At 42.4% G+C, this 24,888-nt stretch overlaps 2 protein-coding genes and 1 non-coding gene across 12 annotated transcripts in view, besides 1 other annotated feature; 1 reads left to right on the top strand and 2 right to left on the bottom strand.

The window, feature by feature from the left end:
• B2M (beta-2-microglobulin) lies at nt 7,044-13,672 on the bottom strand. Of its 2 annotated transcripts, NM_004048.4 has the most exons (4): nt 13,576-13,672; nt 9,488-9,766; nt 8,833-8,860; nt 7,044-7,582 (listed from the first exon to the last, which is right to left on the bottom strand). In NM_004048.4, exons 1-3 carry the CDS (start codon nt 13,640-13,642, stop codon nt 8,847-8,849), a joined length of 360 nt encoding a protein of 119 aa, NP_004039.1. In that variant the 5' UTR covers nt 13,643-13,672; the 3' UTR covers nt 7,044-7,582; nt 8,833-8,846. The 2 variants fall into 2 exon arrangements, with proteins under 2 accessions (NP_004039.1, XP_005254606.1); XM_005254549.4 differs by lacking the exons at nt 7,044-7,582; nt 8,833-8,860 and having other exon boundaries at nt 8,887-9,766.
• MIR10393 (microRNA 10393) lies at nt 7,296-7,345 on the bottom strand. The gene has a single exon (NR_162102.1). It is a non-coding gene; the product is annotated as a microRNA 10393 (primary transcript).
• Nucleotides 13,189-13,851: an enhancer, noted in NCBI's record as "H3K27ac-H3K4me1 hESC enhancer chr15:45003536-45004198 (GRCh37/hg19 assembly coordinates)". NCBI's record gives its function as "activates a minimal SCP1, AML or CMV promoter by ChIP-STARR-seq in primed H9 embryonic stem cells {active_cell/tissue: H9 hESC(primed)}" and the evidence as "EXISTENCE:reporter gene assay evidence [ECO:0000049][PMID:30033119]".
• PATL2 (PAT1 homolog 2) overlaps nt 13,799-24,888 on the top strand; it is a 45,659-nt gene continuing 34,569 nt past the window's right edge. For 4 of the 9 annotated variants that reach the window (XM_011521345.4, XM_011521343.4, XM_011521338.4 and 1 more), the window contains exons 1-3: nt 13,866-14,169; nt 14,260-14,318; nt 14,975-15,093. The gene's annotated coding sequence lies outside the window, so the exon portion shown is untranslated. The other 5 variants (XM_047432230.1, NM_001387262.1, XM_011521339.4 and 2 more) reach the window with 4 other exon arrangements.

Genomic DNA, 24,888 nt, shown 5'->3' with positions numbered 1-24,888 from the left:
TATATTGCCCAGACTGCTCTTAAACTCCTCCTGGGTTCAAACAATCCTCCTGCCTCCGCCTTCCAAGTAGCTGGGACCACAGGTGTGTGCTACCACACCCAGCTAATTTTTGTTTGTTTGATTTTGTAGAGAGGAGGACTCACTATGTTGCCCAGGCTGGTCTCAAACTCCTGGGCTCATGCGATCCTCCAGTCTCAGCCTCCCAAAATGCTGGGATTAGAAGTGTGAGCCACTGTGCCCAGCCAGGATTAAGTTTCAACATGAATTTCAGAAGGGACAAACATTCGAGCCATAATAAATGACGAGAAAACCACTTCAACTATGCTGTGTCATTCAGTGGCAGCAAAAGTCCTCTCAGTTTTTCTAAGTGAAAACAGTAAAAAGAGGAAGTGCCTGTAATCCCAGCACTTTGGGAGGCCAAGGCGAGCAGATCACGAGGTCAGGAGTTTGAGACCAGCCTGGCCAGCATGGTGAAACCCCATCTCTACCAAAAACACACACATAAAAAAATTAGTCAGGCATGGTGGTGCATGCCTGTATTCCCAGCTACTCGGGAGGCTGAGGCAGGAGAATCACTTGAACCCAGGAAGCAGAGGTTGCAGTGAGCCGAGATTGCGCCACTGCACTCCAGCCTAGGCGATACAGTGAGACTCTGTCTAAAGAAAAAAAAAAAAAAAAAAAAAGAGGAAGTGGTCCATGTGGTCCGTGGGGGAGGGGAAGCCTGCACATCATTGCAGGCTTCACTTGGGCCTGTGTGTCTTACCAAAGACATAGATAACGCTTCAGTTTCTTAGGCTTTTTAATCACCTATGTTGTGGAGGACCAAAGATGTCTAATAATTGCATCCAACTAATGACAGGAGATATATAGAGTTTAGTGCATAGTAAGTGCTTTAATATATGCTCGACTGTTATTTTAATTGTATTTATCAGTTTTTTTTTCTGTTAGGCCTTCTTGTAGCTCTCCAAAGTACCAGAATAATTTCTATGCACAAACTTTTCAATCAAGGTAATCACAGATGTTTTATTATTTATTTTGCGTTATCTAGAACCCAAATATTAGCCTTCAATTTTTTTCCTATAGGTCTAGACTCCAGGGAAAGACAATGCCAATTTTTCCCCCTAAAACTTTGATGGCTACATCACAGACAAAATATTTTTTTATTATAGGAAATGGCTGAGTGTGGTGGCTCTGTAATCCCAGCACTTTGAGAGGCGAGACTGGAGGATCGCTTGAACCCAAGAGTTCAAGACCAGCCAGGGAAACATAGTGAGACCCCCATCTCTACAAAAAAATACACAAAAAAAATTAGCCAGGAATGGGTGGTGCACACCTGTGGTCTCAGCTACTTGGGAGGCTGAGATGGGAGGATTGCTTGAGTCCAAGAGGCTGAGGCTGCAGTGAGCCAAGATTGTGCCTCTGCACACAAGCCTGGGTGACAGGGTAATACCCTGTCTCAGAAAAGAAAAGAAAAGAAAAAAAGAAAAGACCTTGAGTTTTGCTTCAAGGGTTTACAACACAAAAATGACAAGTAAAAAGCAACAGCCCAAAAATACCGTGAAAGTGGTTGTTGACAAAACTAGAAAGACATATCCATTTGTGACATGTTTTCCTTAGGGATCATGAAAAAAAGTAAGATATAAAAATTATTATTTAACAGTAACCCCTTTTTTAAAGGAGGATACAGTTAACCTTTGAACAATACAGATTTGGGGTGCAAGGGTCTACTTTTTTTTTTTTTCCTTTTTGAGGGACTTGCTTCATCACCCAGGCTGGAGTGTAGTGTCCTGATCTCTGCTCACTGCAGCCTCAACCTCCCAGGCTCAAGTGATGCAAGCGTCCACTTTTTTGTGTGTGTGTGTGTGACAAAGTCTTGCTCTGTCACCCAGGCTAGTGTGCGGTGATGCAATCTCCGCTCACTGCAACCTCCGCCTCCTGGGTTCAAGTGATTCTCCTGCCTCAGCCTCCCAAGTAGCTGGGATTACAGGTATGTACCACCACACCCAGCTAATTTTTGTATTTTTAGTAGAGATGGGGTTTCACCATGTTAGCCATTTTTTTTTAAAGAGACTGGGTCTCGGCCGGGCGCGGTGGCTCACACCTGTAATCCCAGCACTTTGGGAGGCCGAGGCGGGTGGATCATGAGGTCAGGAGTTTGAGACCAGCCTGACCAACATGATGAAATCCCGTCTCTACTAAAAATACAAAAAATAATTAGCTGGGTATGGTGGCGGGTGCCTGTAATTCCAGCTACTCAGGAGGCTGAGGCAGGAGAATCGTTTGAACCTGGGAGGTGGAGGTTGCAGTGAGCTGAGATCACGACATTGCACTCCAGCCTGGGTGACAGGGCAAGACTCCGTCTCAAATAAATAAATCAATAAATATGTACATACATAAATAAATACATAAATAGAGAGAGAGACTGGGTCTCACTATGTTGCCCAGGCTTGTCTCAAACTTCTTAGCTCACGCAGTCCTCCCACCTTGGCCTCCAAAAATGCTGGGATTACAGGTGTGAGCCACCATGCCCCACCTAGTTTGTTTTTTTAAAGTGGCTTCTTACACATATTTTGTAGAAACTAATTTTTGTTTCAGCAATATAGTATGGGTATGCTTCCATGTCAGTATGTAGGATCTACTTCTCTATTACTGATGTTGGGACTTTTCAGTTTAATTTGCATTGCACAATTATATTTAATAAGGTTAATTAAGCTTCCTGTATTCCTCCTCTTTGCTTGCTCTCTTCTAAAAAGAGAAACTAAGGCATGCTCCAAAGGAACTGTGAAAGTTGGTCATCAAACTGGGTCATTTTTGTCTTACTCAACTAAAACAGAGTCAAGAAGCCAGGGAGAAGCACTCAGGGCACAAAACATTGTTCCAAAAATGCGATTTTCTGCAAGCCTGGAAGCTGAAACTGCCTGCTATCATCTGAAACCAGGTTTAACTAATGGCTACTGAAATGACCTGCTACAACTCTGAGACTAGTTCTGTTTATTGTCATCATTTGCCAATCAAAACTTGCCAGCTCCTCAAAACTTTACTAGCACCAGTGAAATTTTCTCAGAGCGATAAGTAACATTTTCCCATTTTATAAAACCTTTTTGTACTTCAGACATGCCAAAGACCAGCTGGTCTGTGTGTATGCCCTGAGTTGCAATTCTTTCCTCCCAAATAAAACATTTTAATTTCAGAGATTCAACTCTATATTTCATTTGACTTTGACATAGTATTACCTTGTAATATCAGCCAGCAGAGCAGCCCCTCACAAAATAGCTCTGTTGAATGATATGGAATGGAGAGAGAGTTCTTTATGACTGAACTCAATGGGTCTGTCAATCTTGGATGTACATTAAAACTATCTAGAGGTTTTTTAAAAAATAACACTATACCTGGGCTCCATACCGAGAGATTATGGTTTAATTGGCCTGGATGGGAGTCTGGGAAGCTGGTGAGTTGTTGTTGTTGTTGTTGTTGTTGTTGTTGTTGTTGTTGCTGTTTTTGAGATGGAGTCTCACTCTGTCACTCAGGCTGGAGTGCAATGGCATGATCTCGGCTCACTGCAACCTCTGCCTCCGAGGTTCAAGCGATTCTCTTGCCTCAGCCTCCTGAGTAGCTGGGATTATAGGCACGTGCCACCATGCCTGGCTAATTTTTGTATTCTTAGTAGAGACAGGGTTTCACCATGTTAGCCAGGCTGGTCTTGAACTCCTCGTAATCTGCTCACCTTGACTTTCCAAAGTGTTGGGCTTACAGGCGTGAGCCACCGTGCCTGCCTTGTTGTTTTGTGTGTGTGTGTGTGTGTGTGTGTGTGTGTGTGTGTGTGTGTCTGTGTGTGTGTTTGTTTTGTTCTTACAAACTCTACATGTAATTTTAGTTTGCAGCCAGGTGAAGAGTTAATGAATGGCCTAGGTAAGTGTGGTATAATATGAAACACATTTGGTCTTTGTCCCCAGTTCCTGTCAGAAGTTCCTAAAATCCTTTGAATTTTGAGTGATAGGAGTGTCTTTTATTATTAATAATAAGCCTCTTTGGTAACCCTTGAGTATATGCTAATGAGGTTATACTCATAGGTTTGGGCCCCTAGATAGCCTCAGGATGGTGCTAGTCACCAGAAAGACCAAGTGATGAGAAGATTAGTGTGTTGGAACTTCCACCCCCACCCATCCACCTCTGGGAAGGTGAAGGGGAGCTGGAGATCAAGCTCTATAAAAACTCTTGAACGATGAGCTTCCTGTTTGCTGAATGTGTGGAGGTGCTGGGAGGGTGGCATACACCTGGAGAGGGCATGGACTGTCACCACCACAACCCCCTACATATAGCCCTATTCATCTTTTCATCTAGTTATTCGTCTGTAGCCTTTAATCTTTTATAATAGATTGGTAAATATGAACTGTCCTAGCAAATTAACCAAAGTCAAGGAGGCAGTCATGGGAGTTCTGGTTTCCAGCTGGTCAGTCAGAAGTAGAGGTAACAACCTACAATGTGTGATTGGCATCTGAAGTGGAGGGCAGTCTTGTGGGACTGAACCCTCAACCAGCGGGATCTGACACCATCTCCAGGTAGATCCAATCAAAATCGAATTGAATTATGGGATACCCAGTTGGTGTCTGCTGGAGATTGTTTGGTGTTGTTAAATTAAGTTTAGCCTAGGCAGGGCACAGTGGCTCATGCCTGTAATCTCAGTACTCTGGGAAGCTGAGGCCAGAGGATCACTTGAGGCCAGGAGTTTGAGACCAGCCTGGACAACATGGTGAAACACCATCTCTACTAAAAACACAAAATTAGCCAGGCGTGGTGGCGCATGCCTGTAATCCCAGTTACTCGGGAGGCTGAGGAACGAGAATCACTTGAACCCTGGAGGTGGAGGTTGCAGTGAGCCAAGATGGTGCAACTGCACTCCAGCCTAGACAACAAGAGAGAAACTCTGTCTCAAAAAAAGGTTTAGCCTAAAGTTGCCTTAGCTGGGCACAGTGGCTCACACCTGTAATCCCAGCATTTTCGGAGGCTGAGGCGAAAGAATTGTGCAAGGCCAGGAGTTCATCTCTACTAAAAATTAAAAAACAAAATTAGCCAGGCATGCTGACATGTGCCTGTAGTCCCAGCTACTCTAGAGCCTGAGGCGGAAGGATTGCTTGAGGCCAGGAAGTCGAGGCTGCAATAAGCCATGATCATACCACTGAACTCCAGCCCGGGTGACAGAGTGAGACCTTGTCTCAAAAAAAAAAAATTAAATAAATAAATAAAACTGCCTCCCTGTGTAAGTTCAGGCTAAAGATTTCTCTCTGCATAGTGAACTGTAACCTAACTGGATGTGTAAACAGACTGTAACTTACTCTTATACCACAGAGTCTCAGCCAATCACAGGTGGCCAACTCTTCAAACCCTGTTTAAATGAGGCAAATGCTGAACTGCAACCAATCTGGCTGCTTCTGCCCCTGACTTCCATTTTCTGCACATCACTTTCCTTTTTCTGTCCCTAAATGTCATCCAACCATGTGGCACCCCCAGAGTCATTTTGAACCTATTCTGGCTCCGGCAGCTGCCTGGTTCGAGAATCATTTTTGCTCAGTTAAACTCTGTTAAATTTAATCTGTCTAAAATTTTTCTCCTAACAGAGTGTGGGGGGAAAACCCCTAAATATCCGGTCACAGAAGCATTATGTGTTAAGTGTAAGAGTAGAAATTTTAAAACTTTGTTTTTCTTTCAGAGTATCATCCCCCAATTTTTTCAGCTGAGTTCCTACAAGTCTTCCCCCAGACACCCTTCCTCCACTGTTTGGAATTACCCAAACCTGCCATGTGGCTGTCCTTCCTGGCTACCATGCCTGGAAACCCAGGCCCCACCTACCAATCAAGAGAACCACTAGCAACTTACTCTCAGCTCAGGCAAATGGCTTCTCTAACACCTCCCTAGATTTTTGTTGTTGTTCCTTGAACAACAACATTTCTTTTTTAAAAAAATTATTTTTTGTTTTTTTTAATTCAATTCTTTGAATTGAGACAGGGTCTTGTTATGTTGCCCAGGCTGGTCTCGGACTCCTGGGCTCAAGCGATCATCCTACCATGGCCTCCCAAAGTGCTGGGATTACAGACATGAGACACCTCGCCCAGCCTGAACAACAAAATTTCGATTGCCAAGTTCTTCGCGCGTACCTATGCTATATTCTTATCAGGATATATTTTAATTATTTGAGTGCATATCTGTCCCTCTGCTAAACTGAGAAGATCGGGAGCAGTGTTGTGTTTTATTTATCCTGTCAGTACCTAGAACTAGCTAACTCAGATTCTTGGTCAAATAAACAAAGCTGGCCATCAGGTATAAAACTATGCCTTGAAAATTTTAAATCTGTTATTTGTCATTCAAAGTACAGCGGGCCTTCCGTATCCAGGGGCTCCACATCTGTGGATTCAGCAAACCATGGATCAAAAACACTGGGGAAAAAAAGGGATGGTTGTGTCTTTACTGAGCATGTACAGACTTTTTTTTCTTGTCATTATTCCTTAAACAATAACAACTATTTGCATAGCATTTACATTGTATTAGGTATTACAAGTAATCTAGAAATGATTTAAAGTATACAGGAGGATGTGGATAGGTTATATGCAAATACTATACCATTTTATAGAAGGGACTTAAATATCCATAGATTTGGTGTCCAAGAAGGGGTCCTGAAACCAATCCCCCAGGGAGACCAAGGGATGATTGTATATCTATTCCTTGCTAAAATATTAAATCCTTCAGATACTTTTGCTCCCTCTTAGAGTCTGCATACTCCTCATGACCTGGCCCGCAGGAAAGAACGCTGGCTAAAATATAGAAGGCTGGCCTCCCACTAGACAGCTGTGTCACCCCAACTATGCCATTTAACTTCTTTGAGCATCAGATTCCTAATCTGGAAAATGTGAATCACTGAGGCCCTTTACACTGTGAGCCAAACTCTATATACAAGGGGTTCACATTTTTTACCAAGTGGAACTTGAAGACTGTTTCCCTGTTTGAAAATAAAGGGGTAATAGTGGGAGTGAGATATAAGAGATAACACATCAAGTTTTATGATTTATTTAACTTGTGGAACAAAAATAAACCAGATTAACCACAACCATGCCTTACTTTATCAAATGTATAAGAAGTAAATATGAATCTTATATGACAAAATGTTTCATTCATTATAACAAATTTCCAATAATCCTGTCAATTATATTTCTAAATTTTCCCCCAAATTCTAAGCAGAGTATGTAAATTGGAAGTTAACTTATGCACGCTTAACTATCTTAACAAGCTTTGAGTGCAAGAGATTGAAGAGTTCAAATCTGACCAAGATGTTGATGTTGGATAAGAGAATTCTCTGCTCCCCACCTCTAAGTTGCCAGCCCTCCTAGAGCTACCTGTGGAGCAACCTGCTCAGATACATCAAACATGGAGACAGCACTCAAAGTAGAATTATAAAGAAGATCATGTCCATGTTAACATTATTATAACCCTACATTTTGTGCATAAAGTGTAAGTGTATAAGCATATCAATATTAAAAAGCAAGCAAGCAGAATTTGGAATTCATCCAATCCAAATGCGGCATCTTCAAACCTGAAAAGAAAAGAAAAAGGTTAGCAATGAATTTATTTTATTTGGATTGCAGATCTCATTACCAAACTTGTCTAATTTCTACTGTGTAGATCACCTTTTTAAAAGAAGTAGCTGCAGACAGTTCTCCAAACCCATTATAAAGAGTATATCCTGTTAGTGTATCCCTTTGGTGCTCCCAAAATCTTAGAAGAAAAAATGCTGATATGATGTTTTGGTCAATGATGGACTGTATATATGACAGTGGTCTCATAAGATTAAAATAGCATATTTTTACTGCAACTTCTATGTTTAGATACACAAATACTTACCATTGTGTTACAACTGCCCACAGTATTCAGTACAGTAACAGGCTGTACAGGTTTGTAGTCTAGGAGCAATAGGCTATACCATGTAGCCTATGCGTGTAGTAGGCTACAACACCTAGGTTTGTGTAAGCATTTCTCAGAACATGTCCCCGTCATTAAGTAACACATGACTATATTAGAGTTCAGGTCCTGGCTCTACAATTTACTAACAGTGTGACTGGGCAGATCATCCACCTTCCTGATGCTCTCCCAAATCAATTCCCTGTTCTAGAATATAACAGGAGATTTGAATGGGGTTTCAGCATCAATGTACCCTGGGCAGTAGAATTTCATTGAAAAGCCTTTGGACTCCAACTAAAGATGCAGAGAAGTCCAAGTTCCTCCCTCTCTCTTGCTTCTGGAGCTCCTTGTAGTTACATCTATTATAGTATCATTATATCAAGTTATAACAATCTGTTTCCCTTTATCTCCTCTAGTGGCCTGGGAACCTCTAAGAGGCAAACACAGTCCCCATACAGGAATGGGATGTCTGCAGAGCTGTATAACTCCTCTCTTCTGTCTGAAGAATAAAACAACATTATACAAAGGAAAAGAGTGGTTCATTTTCTCTCCTCAGCAGAGATGTCCAATGTGGAAATGGCAGAAGAAAGATCAAAGCCTTGCAGGTAATGTGGGTAACCACCTGCCTTTATCCTGCAATACCATACTGGCAGTTCCTTTGCCCTCTCTGTAGAGGGTCAGTAATATGGCCATACCTGGGGCCATACACCTTCTTCATGCCACTCCACAGGAGAAGGGAACATGACCCTGTAGGATTCTTCTTTCCCTGCTAAAATGTTACTCTGTCAATGTTCTCCACATAGTGAGGGTTATCATGTTAGAGCTGTCTATAAATAGTCCTCAGGACAGTGAAACAAAAACATTTTCTCAAGGTCAAAAACTTACCTCCATGATGCTGCTTACATGTCTCGATCTATGAAAAAGACAGTGGAGAAAAAAAAGGAAGACATTAAGTTTTACTTTTAAAATACCATGTACTAACAAATGTCTAAAATGGTTAGAAATAAGGCTGGCAGAATAGGCTGCTGTTCCTACCCATGAATACATTGTTTAGAGCTACCCAGCAGGAACAAGCCCTTCCTACTAGCCTCAGATACCAATCCAGCCAGAAAGTACTGGAGAAGTCCAGGATTATAGGATGCTAGGACAGCAGGACTTACAAACAAAGGCCTATACCTTCTTGAGATGTTCGTTCAGTGCTAAATATACCTGAAGCTGCCACAAAAGCTAGAGGAAGCCAGTAGGTAAGAAGTGTTAAGAGTGTATATGTATTTGTGCAAGTGCTGCTGCTGCTCCCTGCTCAACTGCAGGGAAACTACTGGTTCAGAAACCATGCTGTGCATCAGTATCTCAGCAGGTGCCACTAATCTGATCTTTAAGAACATTCCCTGACAATCCCAATATGCAGATTGTTTATATCAGATGGGATGGGACTCATTCAGGGTAGTATGGCCATAGACCTTTTTTATATCAAAGCAGCTTTATGATATGACTACTCATACACAACTTTCAGCAGCTTACAAAAGAATGTAAGACTTACCCCACTTAACTATCTTGGGCTGTGACAAAGTCACATGGTTCACACGGCAGGCATACTCATCTTTTTCAGTGGGGGTGAATTCAGTGTAGTACAAGAGATAGAAAGACCAGTCCTTGCTGAAAGACAAGTCTGAATGCTCCACTTTTTCAATTCTCTCTCCATTCTTCAGTAAGTCAACTTCAATGTCGGATGGATGAAACCCAGACACATAGCAATTCAGGAAATTTGACTTTCCATTCTCTGCTGGATGACGTGAGTAAACCTGAATCTTTGGAGTACCTGAGGAATATCGGGAAAAGACACATTAATATTGCCAGGGTATTTCACTTGGGGCTAACTTGGTGTCAAGCTATATCAGGCACCAAGTGTTTACATTTGGTCATCGATTTCTCCCAATTCCATTTCCACTCTGGCCAAATGAGCTTCCACCTTCCCAACAAGCCACCTCCATTTTGAAGAATAAACCGTGACTTGGTATCTTTCCCTCATAATTCCTCTATACATGCCTTTTTTGTTTTTTTTCTAGCAGATTTCTAGCAGTATCTTCTGTCACTGGAGATTGCGCTGCATTTTTAAGAGCCTTTCTCTGGAGGCTCTCAAGGACTTCTGATGCCCTCTCAGCACTCATAGCATTCCTTAACACATCACTCAAGAGTCTACATGATTTGGCCCCAAGATACTTTTCAAAGTTCATTTCTCAGTTCATAATAGCCCCCATCAAATTACTCATGTTATTGTACTCTGTTTCCACCCCTTCCATTTTTTTTCTTATGTTTATGCCTTTCTTTTTGGTTCCTGCTCCTGCCTTGATCTACACCCATCTGATTTTCTAAACTGTATGAAGTGTCTAGTAGAGTGCCTGGGACATAGCAATTGCTCTATACGTGGCAGATGTTATTATCTGAGGTTCCTAAGTGGATCAACCCAAGGTATGTTCTTTATTTTTTTATTTTTTTATTTTTTGGGATGGAATCTCATTCCATTGCCCAGGCTGGAGTGCAGTGTGCAGTGGTGAGATCTCAGCTCACTGCAACCTCCGCCTCCTGGGTTCAAGTGATTCCTGGGACTACAGGCACACACCACCATGCCTGGTTAATTTTTGTATTTTCAGTAGAGACGGGATTTCACCATGTTGGCCAGGCTGGTCTTGAACTCCCAACTTCAAGTGATCAGCCTGCCTTGGCCTCCCAAAGTGTTGGGATTACAGGCACGAGCCACCGTGCCCAACCAACCCAAGGTATGTTCTTACCAAACAACAAAACCTCTTTATTTCTGCTGAGGTTTTATATGCCAGACCCCTCTCTGACTTTGTACCTAATTTCATGAGCTAAAAAACAAAGAAACAAAACCTAAATGCATACAAGAGCTGGCAAATACCTTAAATGGTTGAGTTGGACCCGATAAAATACAACAGGGATAGGTGAGGACTATGGCAAATGGGACAGAACATACTTTCCATTATGATCAAATGGAGTAATGCATGTGACAGTGGGATTTGCGTTTTAATTAGCATCCACAGGTGATTGCTGTAAACTAGCCAGGTTGGGAATATATTGCCTAATGTTTCAGAAACAGTACTTTCCAAAATGAGAGGCATGACTAGACCATCCATGGGGAAGTGGGAAGAAAATATTATAAACTCTATATTTTTCATTGAAAATGAAGAGAAGTGTTAGTGCTACTAAATATACAGATTGACACTAAATATATGTGTATAAAATTCTTTTAAATACACTTATATTCAGGGTACATGATCACTAAAAGGCAGCTACTCCTCCTTGTCTGGGAGGCTGTGGGGAGAAGGAGGAGTACCAGGCCACCTTGACCAGATATATCTCTCTAGAAACACCCTATCATTAAGGAAAGGCTACTAGCCCCATCAAGAGGTGGATTGGGGAATCTAATGAAGACCTGATTTTTTTCATAACATTAAAAGCTAAGAGAGCTCTTTGCATCTGAGCTTCTAATAATAAGAACATATTAAATGCCTCAGGGATCAGAGCACAGATTCATCCTGCCTGGAACTCTCTGTTTGAGGGAAGGCGGCAAGATTTTGTGAGAGCATCACTGTAATCTTTTCTAAGAAGAGGACAAGTATCAGACAGGCTGGGTTTGAATTTGGGCTCAACCAGTTACTGGCTTTATGACTTTTGGAGAGTTATTTAAGCTTCCAAAACTTAACTGAAAAATTAATTTATGCCCACAGTAAAACAAAAACAAAACCCACACACAGGTCAGAGGAGGAAAATAGACCTTCAGAGGCAATCATCATTACATGTTTCTTGTGGTATCTTCCAGAAATGGTCTATGCATGGCATGTATTACTTTGGAAATTTTCAAAATAAGATTTTTTTTTAAATATCAGATTGTTATTTTTTAAAATGACATCTAACATAACCAGCAAATACCAGTAATGGTGGTGATATATACATTATCCTTTATGTTGTAAATAAATTGTATTCAAATTAAATGCAATTTTCTCATGATCAAAACATTCTGCTTTCGATCATGTTTTGCCAGAGGAAAAGGTGAGCGCGCTTAGTGTATTGCCAGGTACTTAGAAAGTGCTCAAGATCTCTGGCGTCCTCAACAGTCTTGGTAACCATCTTGGATTATCTTTATTAATGGTTTTACAGCTCCCCTGACTGACAAACCTTCACTTCTTTCTTTCTTTTCTTTTCTCTTTCTTTTTTTTTTTTTTTCTTTTTTGAGAGACAGGGTCTCGCTCTGTTGCCCACGCTGGAGTGCACTGGCGCCATGATAGCTCAAAAGCCTAAGCTCAAGAGATCCTCCCGCCTCAGCCACCGGAGCAGCTGGGACCACAGGCACGAGCCACCACACCCGGCTAATTTTTGTTATTATTTTTTGTAGAGACCAGGCTTCACCATGTTGGCCAGGCTGGTCTCAACTACGGACCTCAAGCCATCCTCCCGCCTCGGCCTCCCTAAGTGCTGGGATTACAGGCGTAAGCTACCACGCCCAACCCCCTCATGTTTTCAAAACCGAAAGTAAGAGGCACAGTACATCTTGGAAACAACCAGGCAAAGAGCCAAAGAGGAAGCCCTCTGTACGAAAAGACCACAGGGCCCATGCCGCCCAGTTTGCTCTGGAGAATCTCACGCAGAAGGCAGGCGTTTTTCTTAAAAAAAAATGCACGAATTACAGCCAAAAGGCATGCGCTCCCGCAAAAGCCCTGGTTAGGCTTGACTTCAATCTCGATTGCTGCCATTTATCCCCTGTGTAATTAAGTTTCTTAAAATCTCGGTGCCTTAGTTTCTTCATCTGTGAGAGGCAGAAGATAACCATAGTAGTTATCTATGGCGGAAGATAACTGTTTTCAAAATTAAATGACGCAAAGCACATAAAGTCCTTGGCACACAGAAAGATGTCAATAACGGGTAGTTCTTATAATTTTTTAAAAGTGACATGTGATGGGAACAAATAAGTTAATTATTCGAAACCGCTTTGTATCACAGCCAAGCATTCTACAAACGTCGCGTGCTGTTTCCTCCCCACGGTGTGGCCCCACATAGACCCAGAGGTGCTAGGACATGCGAACTTAGCGGGCGCCTAGACGAAGTCCACAGCTCTCCAGTCTAAGGGAAGCAGAGCCGCAGCAGACAGGCTTACCCGGGCGACGCCTCCCCCAGACCCCAAGCGCCCCTCCACGCGTTCACAAACCTCAGCGCCGCGCCTTTGGGACGAGCCTACCCGTCCCCCACTCCAGCTGCGCTGGGGGAGCCAGAGGCCCCGCGAAAGAGCGGAAGAGAAACCCTCCCCCAACCTCGGCGCTCTGACGCTTATCGACGCCCTAAACTTTGTCCCGACCCTCCCGTCGCCGTAGGCCAAAGGTCTCCCCTGCTCCCCGCCGAAAGGGGCAAGTAGCGCGCGTCCCGGGTGCGCACCCCCTTCCCCACTCCCAGGCCACCCCGCCGCTTCCCCGAGATCCAGCCCTGGACTAGCCCCACGGCGGGCCACCAAGGAGAACTTGGAGAAGGGAAGTCACGGAGCGAGAGAGCACAGCGAGGGCCACAGAGGGTGCAGAGCGGGAGAGGAAGGACCAGAGCGGGAGGGTAGGAGAGACTCACGCTGGATAGCCTCCAGGCCAGAAAGAGAGAGTAGCGCGAGCACAGCTAAGGCCACGGAGCGAGACATCTCGGCCCGAATGCTGTCAGCTTCAGGAATGCCCGCCAGCGCGACGCCTCCACTTATATTAAACGCGTGCCCAGCCAATCAGGACAAGGCCCGCAGGGACCGTCACCTGTCTCCAAGCCAGCGACGCAGTGCCAGGTTAGAGAGAGGGACTTTCCCGTTTTCAGTTTCCTTTTCTTAGAGTCTCGTGATGTTTAAGAAGGCATGCACTAGACTGGGTGAGTTTGCTGTCTGTACATCGGCGCCCTCCGATCTGGGGTGCGCGCCCCAGCTTGGGACACCGGGCGCTCATTCTAGGACTTCAGGCTGGAGGCACATTAAGGCTGCCCCCTCGCTTTGCAGACTGGCCCCAGAGATGCTAAGTGACTTGCTAATGGTGCCCCAGCCAGTTAACTGCTCGGACCTGCATTTTTCATTCGAGAAAACGGAAACCCAGAAGATTAAGATCTTTGAATGCTACCTAGCAGAAGGAGAACTTCTGTTTATAACTACAGCTTGGGAATTCCCTGCAGGGTTTCTCCATTCTCTGGGTAAGAAAAATAGTCCCAAAAGCATCCTGAGGACAGCTCAGAGAAGGTCCTAGTGAAAGAGTACCTTTCTTGCTTCTTGTATCCCTTCAGGAAAAAGTGTTTGGAAAGTTCTGTGCCAAGAAGTTCCTCCCTATGTCCTTGCTGTTTAGGTAATTTTCTTTGTTCTGTTGATTTGTCGGGGGGCGGGGGGGAGAAAAAAACGACCACTAATAGTAAAAGCAGTAACTGCTAGGGCTTTAGAGCTTCCAGCGCCCTCTAGGTACATCATTCTCTTAGTTTCCACCCTAGAACAGGGGCTGGCACATAGTAGGTACTCAGTAAACCGAATGAACGAATGGATGGATGAATGAATGAATTAGTGAATATATAAATAAACTGTAGGAGGAAAGAATTACCCCCATTCATTTTATGGACAGGGGAAACAAAGGCTAAGAGACTAGAATTCAAACTCTGGCCTGATTCCATTGACATTAATATTTTAGACACTGGAAGACAAAGGGCTCGGCAATTTTAGTGAGAGTTTGGACTGCATCTGCCTTGGACCCAGCCAAGGACGTTAAACATGACAGGCAGACCCATTAAGAAAACCTACCCTCTAAAGTGACCATAAATAAGGTGCCGCCATTTCGTGGTGGTGGAGTCCACAGATCTTTTCTAAGAGGAACAGTGAGAAGAGGAAGTGGACCATGGCGATGGGGAGGGGCAGAGATCTTGGAAGTCACCATGGTTTTCAGTTGAAAGGATTTGCCTAGCTTCCCCAAGGAGCACAACAAATAACTTCTAGGTTTCTTTTACATATTTTTAGGCTTTTGATAATCTTTATTGTGGAGGCCATGCCTAAACTAAGAAAATGCAATACTCTCCATGGACCTAATGAAATGAGATAATGCACAAGAGAGAGCCTCCCACAATGCCTGGTACATAGTAAGTGTTCTGTAGTGTTTAATAAGCGCTATAATTATTAATATTATTTACCTAGTTTTTCTACCAGCCCTCTCAATAACTAAAATATGAGAATAATTGTTATGCCTAAATGTATGAGTTAAGACACTCTTGCTCCCTCCCTTTTCCCCCTTTTAAAAACTCATATAAGGCACTAAAGGCCTGAAATGTTAGTGTTGAGTTGTACTAGAAAAGTGCCTTAGAAGTTTAGCAAGGGACAGGGCTATTTTTGCCTCTAGTTTCTTGTTTACTACATCACAGAGAAACACTAAATTTAAAATCCATTACAGATAGATTCTGATTTACTCACTTGGAAAACCAATTTAAAAACCAATAAAAAACAGTACAGATAGAAAAAAGTCGATTTTACAGTTTTCTTTGGGGGGGAATACCTGTATTTTTCTTGGACTTACCATTTATGACATGTTTTGAATAGTGAGGGGGAAAATTATGTATACAACTATTTGTTTAAAAACAAGAGCACTGTTTGCCTAGGATGGCAAATTTGGGAAGTCTACAAACATGACAATTTCTTTTTTTTTTAATTTTTAATATTTTTGTGGAGACAGAGTCTTGCTGTGTTGCCCAGGCTGGTCTCGAACTCCTGGTCTCAAGTGATCCTCCTTCCCCAGCCTCCTAAAGTGCTAGGATCACAAGCATGTGTTACCACGCCCAGCCACAAATATGACAGTTTAATAGCTTTATCTCCCAGTAGTGCAATTAACAGATTAATAGCGGCCTTTTTTTCCCCTATATAACCCTCTTAAAATTTTTTTACAATGAACATTTATTCAAAGTAGTAAATGTTGGCAAGAATTTAGAAGAACTGGAACTCTCATACAATCCTGGTAGGAATATAAAATGGTATAAACAATTTGGGGCTGGATGTGGTGGCTCACACCTGTAATCTGAGCACTTTGGGAGGTCAAGGCGGGCAGATCACTTGAGATCAGGAGTTTGAGACCAGCCTGGCCAACATGGTGAAACCCTGTCTCTACTAAAAATACAAAAATTAGCTAGGCATGGTGGCAGGCATCTGTAACCCCAACTACTCAGGAGGCTGAGGCAGGAGAATTGCTTGAACCTGGGAGGCAGAGGTTGCAATGAGCCGAGATTGCACCACTGCACTCCAGCCTGGGCAACAGAGCAAGACTTCATCTCAAAAAGAAAAAAGAAAAAGGAAAACACTTCGACAGCTCTTTATAAAGTTAAACATACACTGGCCATAATATCCAGCCACTCCACCCAAGGTATTTGCCCAAGAGAAAATGAAAGCATATGTCTATACAAAGACTTGGACATTAATGTTTAATGTTTATAGCAGTTTTATTTGTGATAGCTGAAAACTAGAAACGATCCAACATACATCAACAGGTAAATGAATAAACCCATTGGAGTATATATCCATACAATGAAATACTATCATCAACAAACAAGGAATAAACTGTTGATACATGTAACATGGATGAAATAATCATGGTAAATAAAAGAAGTCAGACAGAAAAGAACATATACTATATGATTCTGTTTATATAAAACTCCAGAAAAGGCAAACTATAATCTATATGACAGAAAGTAGATGAGTGGTTTCTAGAGGGAAAGGAGATCATCTAAACATGAGGAAACTTTAGGGTTGATGGATATGTTAATTATCTAGAGTTCGATGATGATTTCAGTTATATTTTAGAACTTATTGTATACTTTAAGTGTAATATATTGTATGTCGATTATAAATATTTAAAAGGACATAGCTAGGGGAGGTGGAGCAAGATGGCTGAATAGACGCCTCCACTAATCCTGCTCCCTGCAGGAACACCAAATTGAATAATGATCCACACAAAAAAAAGCACCTTCATAAGAACCAAAAATCAGGTGAGTGATCACAGTACCTGGTTTTAACTTCGTATCACTGAAAGAGTAACTGAAGAGGGTAAGACAGTCTTGAATTGCTAAATGCTATCTCTCCCCCATTCGCCGGCAGCGGCCACCTGGCATGGAGAGAGAATGTGTGCTTCTGGGAGAGGAAGAGTGCAGTGATTTTCAGACTTTGCATTGGAACTCAGTGCTGCCCAGTCATAGCACAAAGCAACACTGGGAAGAACTCACCCAGGTCCCATGGAGGGATCATTTAGACCAGCCCTAGCTAGAGGCAAATCACCCATCCCAGCAGTGGGAACCTGAGTTCCAGTAAGCCTCCCCACCATGGGCTGAAGTGCTCTGAGGTTCTACATAAACTTGAAAGGCAGTCTAGGCCACAAGGATGGCAATTCCTGGGTAAGTCCTGGTGCTGTGCTGGGCTCAGAGCCAGTGAATGTGGGGGGCACACAACCTAGTGAGACACTAGCTGGGATGGCCAAGGGATTGCTTGCACCACCCCTCTCCCAACCCCAGGCAGGGCAGCTCAAAGCTCAGAGAGAGACTTCTTTCCTCTGCTTGAGAAGAGGAGAGGGAAGAACAAAGATGAGTTTGTCTTGCATTGGATACCAGCTCAGCTGCAGTAGGATAGGGCACCAGGCAAAGTCCTGAGGCCCACATTCCAGGCCATAGCTCCAAGCTGACATTTCTAGCCACACCCTGGGCCAGAAGGGAACCTGCTGCCTTGAAGGGAAGGACCAGTCCTGGCAGGATTCCTCACCAGCTGACTAAAGAGCCCTTTGGCCCTGAATAATCAGAAGTAGCCAGGTAGTACTCATCATGGGCTTTGGGTGAGACTCAGAGACGTGCAGGCTTAAGGTGTGACCCAGCACATTACAGCTGTGGTGGCTATGGGGAGAAATTCCTTCTGCTTGAGAAAAGAAGTGGAAAGAGTAAAGGGGACTTGGCCACTGTGGGGTTAGAATACCAAGTGGCCTCTTAAGGTCCCTGATTCCAGGCTTTGGCTCTTAGATAGCATTCCTGGACCTGCTCTGGGCCAGAGGGGAGCCTGCTTCCCTGAAGGGTGAGTCCCAGGCTGGGCAGCGTTCACCACAAGCTTACTGCAGAGCCCTTGGGCCTTGAGTATACATCAGCAGTAGCCAGACAGTACCCACCACAGGCCTGGGGTGGAAGTGGCCATGGCAAGAGACTCCTCAGCTTGTGGAAAGGGGAGGGAAAAGTGGGAAGGACTTTGTCTTGTGGCTTGGGTGCCAGTTCAGCCTCAGTGCAATAGAGTACCAGGTAGATTCCTAAGGTTTCTGACTAGGCCCCAGTTCCTGGAAGGCATCTCTGGATTCACCCCAGGCTGGGGGAAACTTGCCACCCTAAAGAGAGGGACATAAGCTTGGCTGGCTTTGCCACCTGCTGATTTTAGAGCCATAGGGCCTTGAGTGAACATAGGTAGTAGCCAGGCGGTGGTTACCATAGGCCTTGGGCAAGACCCAGTACTATGCTGGCTTCACGTCTGACCCTGCACAGTCCCAGTGGTGGTCACAGGGGTGTTTGTGTCACTTCTCCCCCAACTCCAGGCAGCTGATCACAGAAAGACAGACTTTGCCTGGGGGAAAATAAGGGAAGACAATAAGAGTCTCTGCCTGGTAATCCAGAGAATTCTTCCAGATCTTATCCAAGACCACCATGGCAGTGCCTCTATGAGTAATCAGTGTTAAGTTGTCAGCAGTTTAAAATAATGAGTGATAAAATATTATCTGCAAACCTCATGGTAACCTCAAATCAAAAAAGATACAACAGACTGTGAAAGAGCCACAGCATTTCTGTGCTTGGTGTGCCCTCTAATGCAGATACAGCTGCAGTGACCAAAAACTTAGATCACAACACCCAAGTTCCTTTGAATTCCTGGAAAGCCTTCCCAAGAAGGACAGATACAAACAGCCCAGACTGCAAAGACTATAATAAATATTTAACTCAGACACTGATGAACATCCACAAGCATCAGGACCAGCCAGGAAAACATGACCTCATCAAATGAATAAGGCACCAGAGGCCAATCCCAGAGAAACAGAGATATGTGACCTTTGAAACAGAATTCAAAATAGCTGTTTTGGTCAGGCACGGTGGCTCACACCTGTAATCCCAACATTCTGGGAGGCCAAGGTGGGTAGATCACTTGAGCTCAGGAGTTCAAGACCAGCTTGGCCAACATGGTGAAACCCTATCTCTACTAAAAATACAAAAATAGCTGGGCGTGGTGGCATATGCTTGTAATCCCAGCTACTCAGGAGGCTGAGGCAGGAGAATTGCTTAAACTTGGGAGGCGGAGATTCAGTGAGCCAAGATCATACCACTGTACTCCAGCCTGGGCAACTGAGCAAGACTCTGTCTAAAAAAAAACAATGTTTTGAGGAAACTCAAAGAAATTAAAGCTAACACAGAGAAGGAATTCAGAATCCTATCATATAACTTTAACAAAGAGATTAAAATAACTAAAAAGAATCAAGCAAAAATTATGGAGTTGAAAAATGATACTGACATACATAAGGGTGCATCAGACTCTCTTATCAGTAGAACTGATCAAGTGGAAGAAAGAATTAGTGAGCTTGAAGACAGGCAATTTGAAAATATAATCAGAAGAGACAAAAGAAAAAAGAATAAAAAAGAATGAAGCATGCCTACAAGATCTAGAAAATAGCCTCAAAACGGCAAATTTAAGAGTTACTGGCTGCAGCCAGGTGCAGTGGCTCACTCCTGTAATCCCAGCACTTTGGGAGGCCAAGGTGGGCAGATCATGAGGTCAGGAGTTCGAGAGCAGCCTCGCCAACATCGTGAAACCCCGTCTCAACTAAAATACAAAAATTAGCTGGACGTGGCAGCAGGCGCCTTTAATCCCGGCTACTCTGGAGGCTGAGGCAGGAGAATTGCTTGAACCTGGGAAGTGGAGGCTGTAGTGAACCAAGATCACAGCACTGCACTCCAGCCTGGACAACAAAGTGAGACTCTGTCTCAAAAAGAAAAAAAAAAGAGTTATTGGCCTTAAAGAGGAGGTAGAGAGAGAGATGGGGTAGAAAGTTTATTCAAAGTGATAGTAACAAAGACCTTCCCAAACCTAGGGAAAGATATCAATATTCAAGTATATGAAGGTTATAGAACACCAAACAAATTCAACCCAAAGAAGATGACCTCAAAACATTTAATAAACAAACTCCCAAGGTCAAGAATACAGAAAGGATCCTAAAAGCAGCAACAGAAAATAAACAAATAACATACCATGGAGCTCTGATATGTCTGGCAGCAGACTTTCCAGTGGAAATATCCTTGAAATATGAAGGAGAAATAAATATCCTTGAAAATATGAAGGAGAAATAAAGACTTTCCTAGACAAACAAAAGTTGAGGGATTTCATCAACACCAGACCTGTCCTACAAGAAATGCTGAAGGGAGTTCTTTAATCAGAAAGAAAAGGACATTAATGAGCAATGAAAAATAATTTGAAGGTGTAAAACTCACTGGTAATTGGAAGTACACAGAAAAAAAACAGAATATTGTAACACTGTAATCATGGTATGTAAACTACTCATATCTTGAGTGGAAAGACCAAAAGCTGAACCAGTCAAAACTAATAACTATAACAACTTTTCAAGACATAGACAGTACAATATGACACAAACACAAACAACAAAGAATTAAAAAGCAGGAGGACAAAGTTAAAATGTAGAGTTTTTATTAATTTTTTCTTTGCTTCTTTATTTATGTAATCAGTGGTAAGTTTTCATTGGTTTAAAATAATGGGTTATGTTGTGAATATGCCAAAAATAATAAAATAAATAATGGGTTATAAAATATTAAATACAAGCCTTATGGTAACCTGAAATAAAAAAGCATACAACAGGGGCCAGGAGTGGTGGCTCCCACTTGTAATCCTAGCACTTTGGGAGGCCAAAGCAGGCCTTTGGCTTGAGCTCAGGAGTTTGAAACCAGCCTGGAAAACACGGTGGTGAAAGTGCTGTCTCTACAAAAGTGCTTGTCTCTACCAAAAAAAAAAAAAAAAAATTAGCCAGACATAGTGGCACTCACCTGTGGTCCCAACTACTTGGGAGGCTGAGATGGGCAGATCACTTGAGCCTGAAAGGCAGAGGTTGCAGTGAGCCAAGATCGCACCACTGCACTCCAGCCTGGGTGACAAAGCGAGATCCCCATCTCAAAAAAAGTCCCCAAAACAACATACAACAGATACACAAAAAATAAAAAGCAAGAAATTTTTAAATACTACCAGAGAAAATCACCTTCACAGAAAGGAAGACAGGAACAAAAGAAGGAAGGAACAGAGGACCACAAAACAACTAGAAAACAAATAACAAAATGGCAAGAGTAAGTCCTTACTTATCAATAATAACATTGAATCTAAATGGACTAAACTCTCCATTCAAAAGACATAGAGTGGCTGAATGGATTTAAAAAAAAAAAAAAAAAAAAAAAAAAAAAGCAAGACCCGGTGATTTGTTGCCTACAAGGAGCACACTTCACCCATAAAGACACACATAGACTAAAACAAAGGGATAGAAAAATATATTCCATTCCAATGGAAACCAAAAAGGATCATGAATAGCTATGCTTACATCAGACAAAATAGATTTCAAGACAAAAACTATAAAAAGAGACAAAGAAGGTCATTATATAATGAAAAGAGGTTAATTCGGCCAGAGTATATAACAATTGTAAAAATATATGCATTCCAACTGGAGCACCCAGCTATATAAAGTAAATATTATTAGAGCTAAAGAGAGAGATAGACCCCAATACAATAATAGCTGGAGACTTCAACACCCCACTTTCAGCATTGGACAGATCATCCAGACTGAAAATCAACAAAGAAACATCAGACTTAATCTGCACTATAGATCAAATGGCTCTAATAGATTTTTTCTTTTTTGAGATGCAGTCTTGCTCTGTTGCCCAGGCTGGAGTGCAGTGGTGTGATCTCAGCTTACTGCAAGCTCCACCTCCCAGGTTCACACCATTCTCCTGCCTCAGCCTCCTGAGTAGCTGGGACTACGGGTGCTCACCACCATGCCCAGCTAATTTTTTTGTATTTTTAGTACAGATGGGGTTTCTCCACGTTAGTCAGGATGGTCTTGATCTCCTGACCTTGTGATCCACCTGCCTTGGCCTCCCAAAGTGCTGGAGTTACAGGCATGAGCCACCGTGCCTGGCCAGATCTAATAGATATTTACAGAACATTTTATCCAATGGCTACAGAATACCCATTCTTCTCCTCAGCACATGGATCATTCTCAAGGATAGACCATATGTTAGACCACAAAATAAGTCTTAAAAAATTGGAATTATATCAAATATCTTCTCTGACCACAATGGAAAAAAACTAGAAATCAATAACAAGAGGAATGTTTGAAACCATACAAATATATGGAAATTAAAATATGCTCCTAAGTGACTGTGGGTCAACAAAGAAATTAAGAAGGAAATTTTTTAAATTCTGGAAACAAATGATAATGGAAACACAATATACCAAAACCTATGGGATACAGAGAAGGCAGTAATAAGAAGAAAGTTTATAGCCATAAGCACCTACATTAAAAAAGAAAAACAGAAAAACTTCAAATAAACAACATAATGATGCATTTCAAAGAACTAGAAAAGCAAGAGCAAGCCAAACCCAAAATTATTAGAAGGAAAGAAATAATAAAGATGAGAGCAAAAATAAATGAAATTGAAATGAAGGAAACAATAGAAAAGATCAACAAAAAGAAAAGTTGTTTTTTTAAAGACAAAAATCAACAATTCCTTAGCCAGACTCGCTAAGAAAAAAAGGAGAGAAGACTCATATAAATAAAATCAGAGATGAAAAAGGAAACATTACAACCAATATCAAAGAAATTCAAACGATCATTAGAGGCTACTATGAGCAACTACATGCCAATAAATTGGAAAACCTAGAAGAAATGGATACATTCCTAGACACATACAACCTGCCAAGATCGAACCTTGAAGAAATCCAAAACCAGAACAGACCAATAACAAGTAACAAATGAAAGCCCAGGACTCTATGTCTTCACTGCTAAATGTTACTAAACATATGAAGAAGAACTAATACCAACTGATATAGTTTCAATATTTGTCCCTACCCAAATCTCATGTTGAATTGTAATCCCTAGTATTGGAGGTGGGGCCTGGTGATAGGTGTTTGGATCATGGGGGCAGATCCCTCATGGCTTGGTGCTGTCCTCACAATAGTGAGTGCATTCTTGAGAGATCTGGTTGTTGGTAAAATGTGACACCTCCCCCCACCACCTCTTGCTCCAAATCTTACCATGTGAAGTGCCTGGCACCCTTCTGCGATGAGTAAAAGCTCCCTGAGGTCTCCCCAGTAGCTGAGCAGATGCCAGCACTATGTTTGTACAGCCTACAGAACCATAAGCCAATTAAAACTCTTTTCTTTGTAAATTTCCCAGACTCAGGTATTTCTCTTTTTTTTTTTTTTTTTTTTTTGAGACAGGGTCTCACTCTGTCACCCAGGCTGGAGGGCAGTGGTGCAATAATCTCAGCTCACTGCAACCTCCACCCCCTGGGTTCAAGCAATTCTCATGCCTCAGCTTCCTGAGTAGCTGAAAGAACAGGCATGTACCACCACACCCAGCTAATTTTCATATTTTTAGTAGAGATAGGGTTTCACCATGTTAGCCAGGCTGGTCTCAAACTCCTGGCCTCAAGTGATCTGCCTTCCTCAGCCTCCCAAACTGCTGGGATTACAGGCATGAGCCACCATGCCCAGCCTCAGTTATTTCTTTATAGCAATGCAAGAAAGACCCAAAACACCAACCCTACTCAAACTATTCTGAAAAATAGAGGAGGAGGGAGTATTTTCAAACTCATCTACGTGGCCAGTATTACCTTGATGCCAAAACTAGACAGACACATAAAAAAAAAAAAACTACAGGCAAATATCCCTGATGCAAAAATCCTCAGCAACATACTAGCACACTGAATTCAACAACACATTAAAGTGATTATTCATCTCATCTGCAATATCTTTCCAATGGAAAAAAAAAATCATTCATCATGACCAAGTGGGATTTATCCCAGAGATGCAAGGATGGTTGAACATACACAAATCAATCAATGTGATATATCATATCAACAGAATGAAGGGCAAAAACCATATGATCATTTCAACTGATGCTGAAAAAACAGTTGATAAAATTCAACATCCCTTCATGATAAAACCCCCCCCAAAAACTGGACATAGAAGGAACATACCTCAACACAGTAAAAGCTATATGACAAACCCACAGCTAGTATCATAGTGAATTAGGGGAAAACCTAAAGCCTTTTCTCAAAGATCTGGAACATGACAAAGATGCCCACTTCCACCACTATTATTCAAAACAGTACTGGAAGTCCTAGCTAGAGTAATCAGACAAGAGAAAGAAATAAAGAGCATCCAAACTGGAAAGGAAGAAGTCAAATTATCCTTATTTGCAGATGATATGATCTTATATTTGAAAAAAACCTAAGGACTCCACCAAAAAACTATTAGAACTGATAAACAAATTCAGTAAAGTTGGAGGATACAAAGTCAACATACAGGCCAGGCATGGTGGCTCACAGCTGTAATCCCAGCACTTTGGGAGGCCAAAGTGGGCTGATCACTTGAGGTCAGGAGTTCAAGACCAGTGTGGCCAATATGGTGAAACCCCATCTCTGCTAAAAATACAAAAATTAGCGAGGTGTGGTGGCACATACCTGTAGTCTCAGCTACTAGGGAGGCTGAGGCAGGAGAATCACTTGAACCCAGGAGGTGGAGGCTGCAGTGAACCAAGATGGCACCACTGCACTCCAGCCTAGGTGACAAAGTGAGGCTCCATCTCAAAAAACAAAAAGAAAGAA

The sequence above is a fragment of the Homo sapiens genome, chromosome 15 (genome assembly GCF_000001405.40).
Source record: "Homo sapiens chromosome 15, GRCh38.p14 Primary Assembly".
NCBI lineage: Eukaryota > Metazoa > Chordata > Mammalia > Primates > Hominidae > Homo > Homo sapiens.
Note: the sequence above shows the minus strand (reverse complement) of the source record. Positions and strands in the feature narration are given on the sequence as shown.

What these genes read in the sequence shown, in the direction of transcription:
- B2M (XM_005254549.4), bottom strand. Translation starts at nt 13,642, where the DNA reads ATGTCTCGCTCCGTGGCCTTAGCTGTGCTCGCGCTACTCTCTCTTTCT. An exon ending in TGGCCTGGAGGCTATCCAGC is followed by an intron (nt 9,767 to 13,575) that starts GTGAGTCTCTCC and finishes GATATTCCTCAG; the next exon opens with GTACTCCAAAGATTCAGGTT.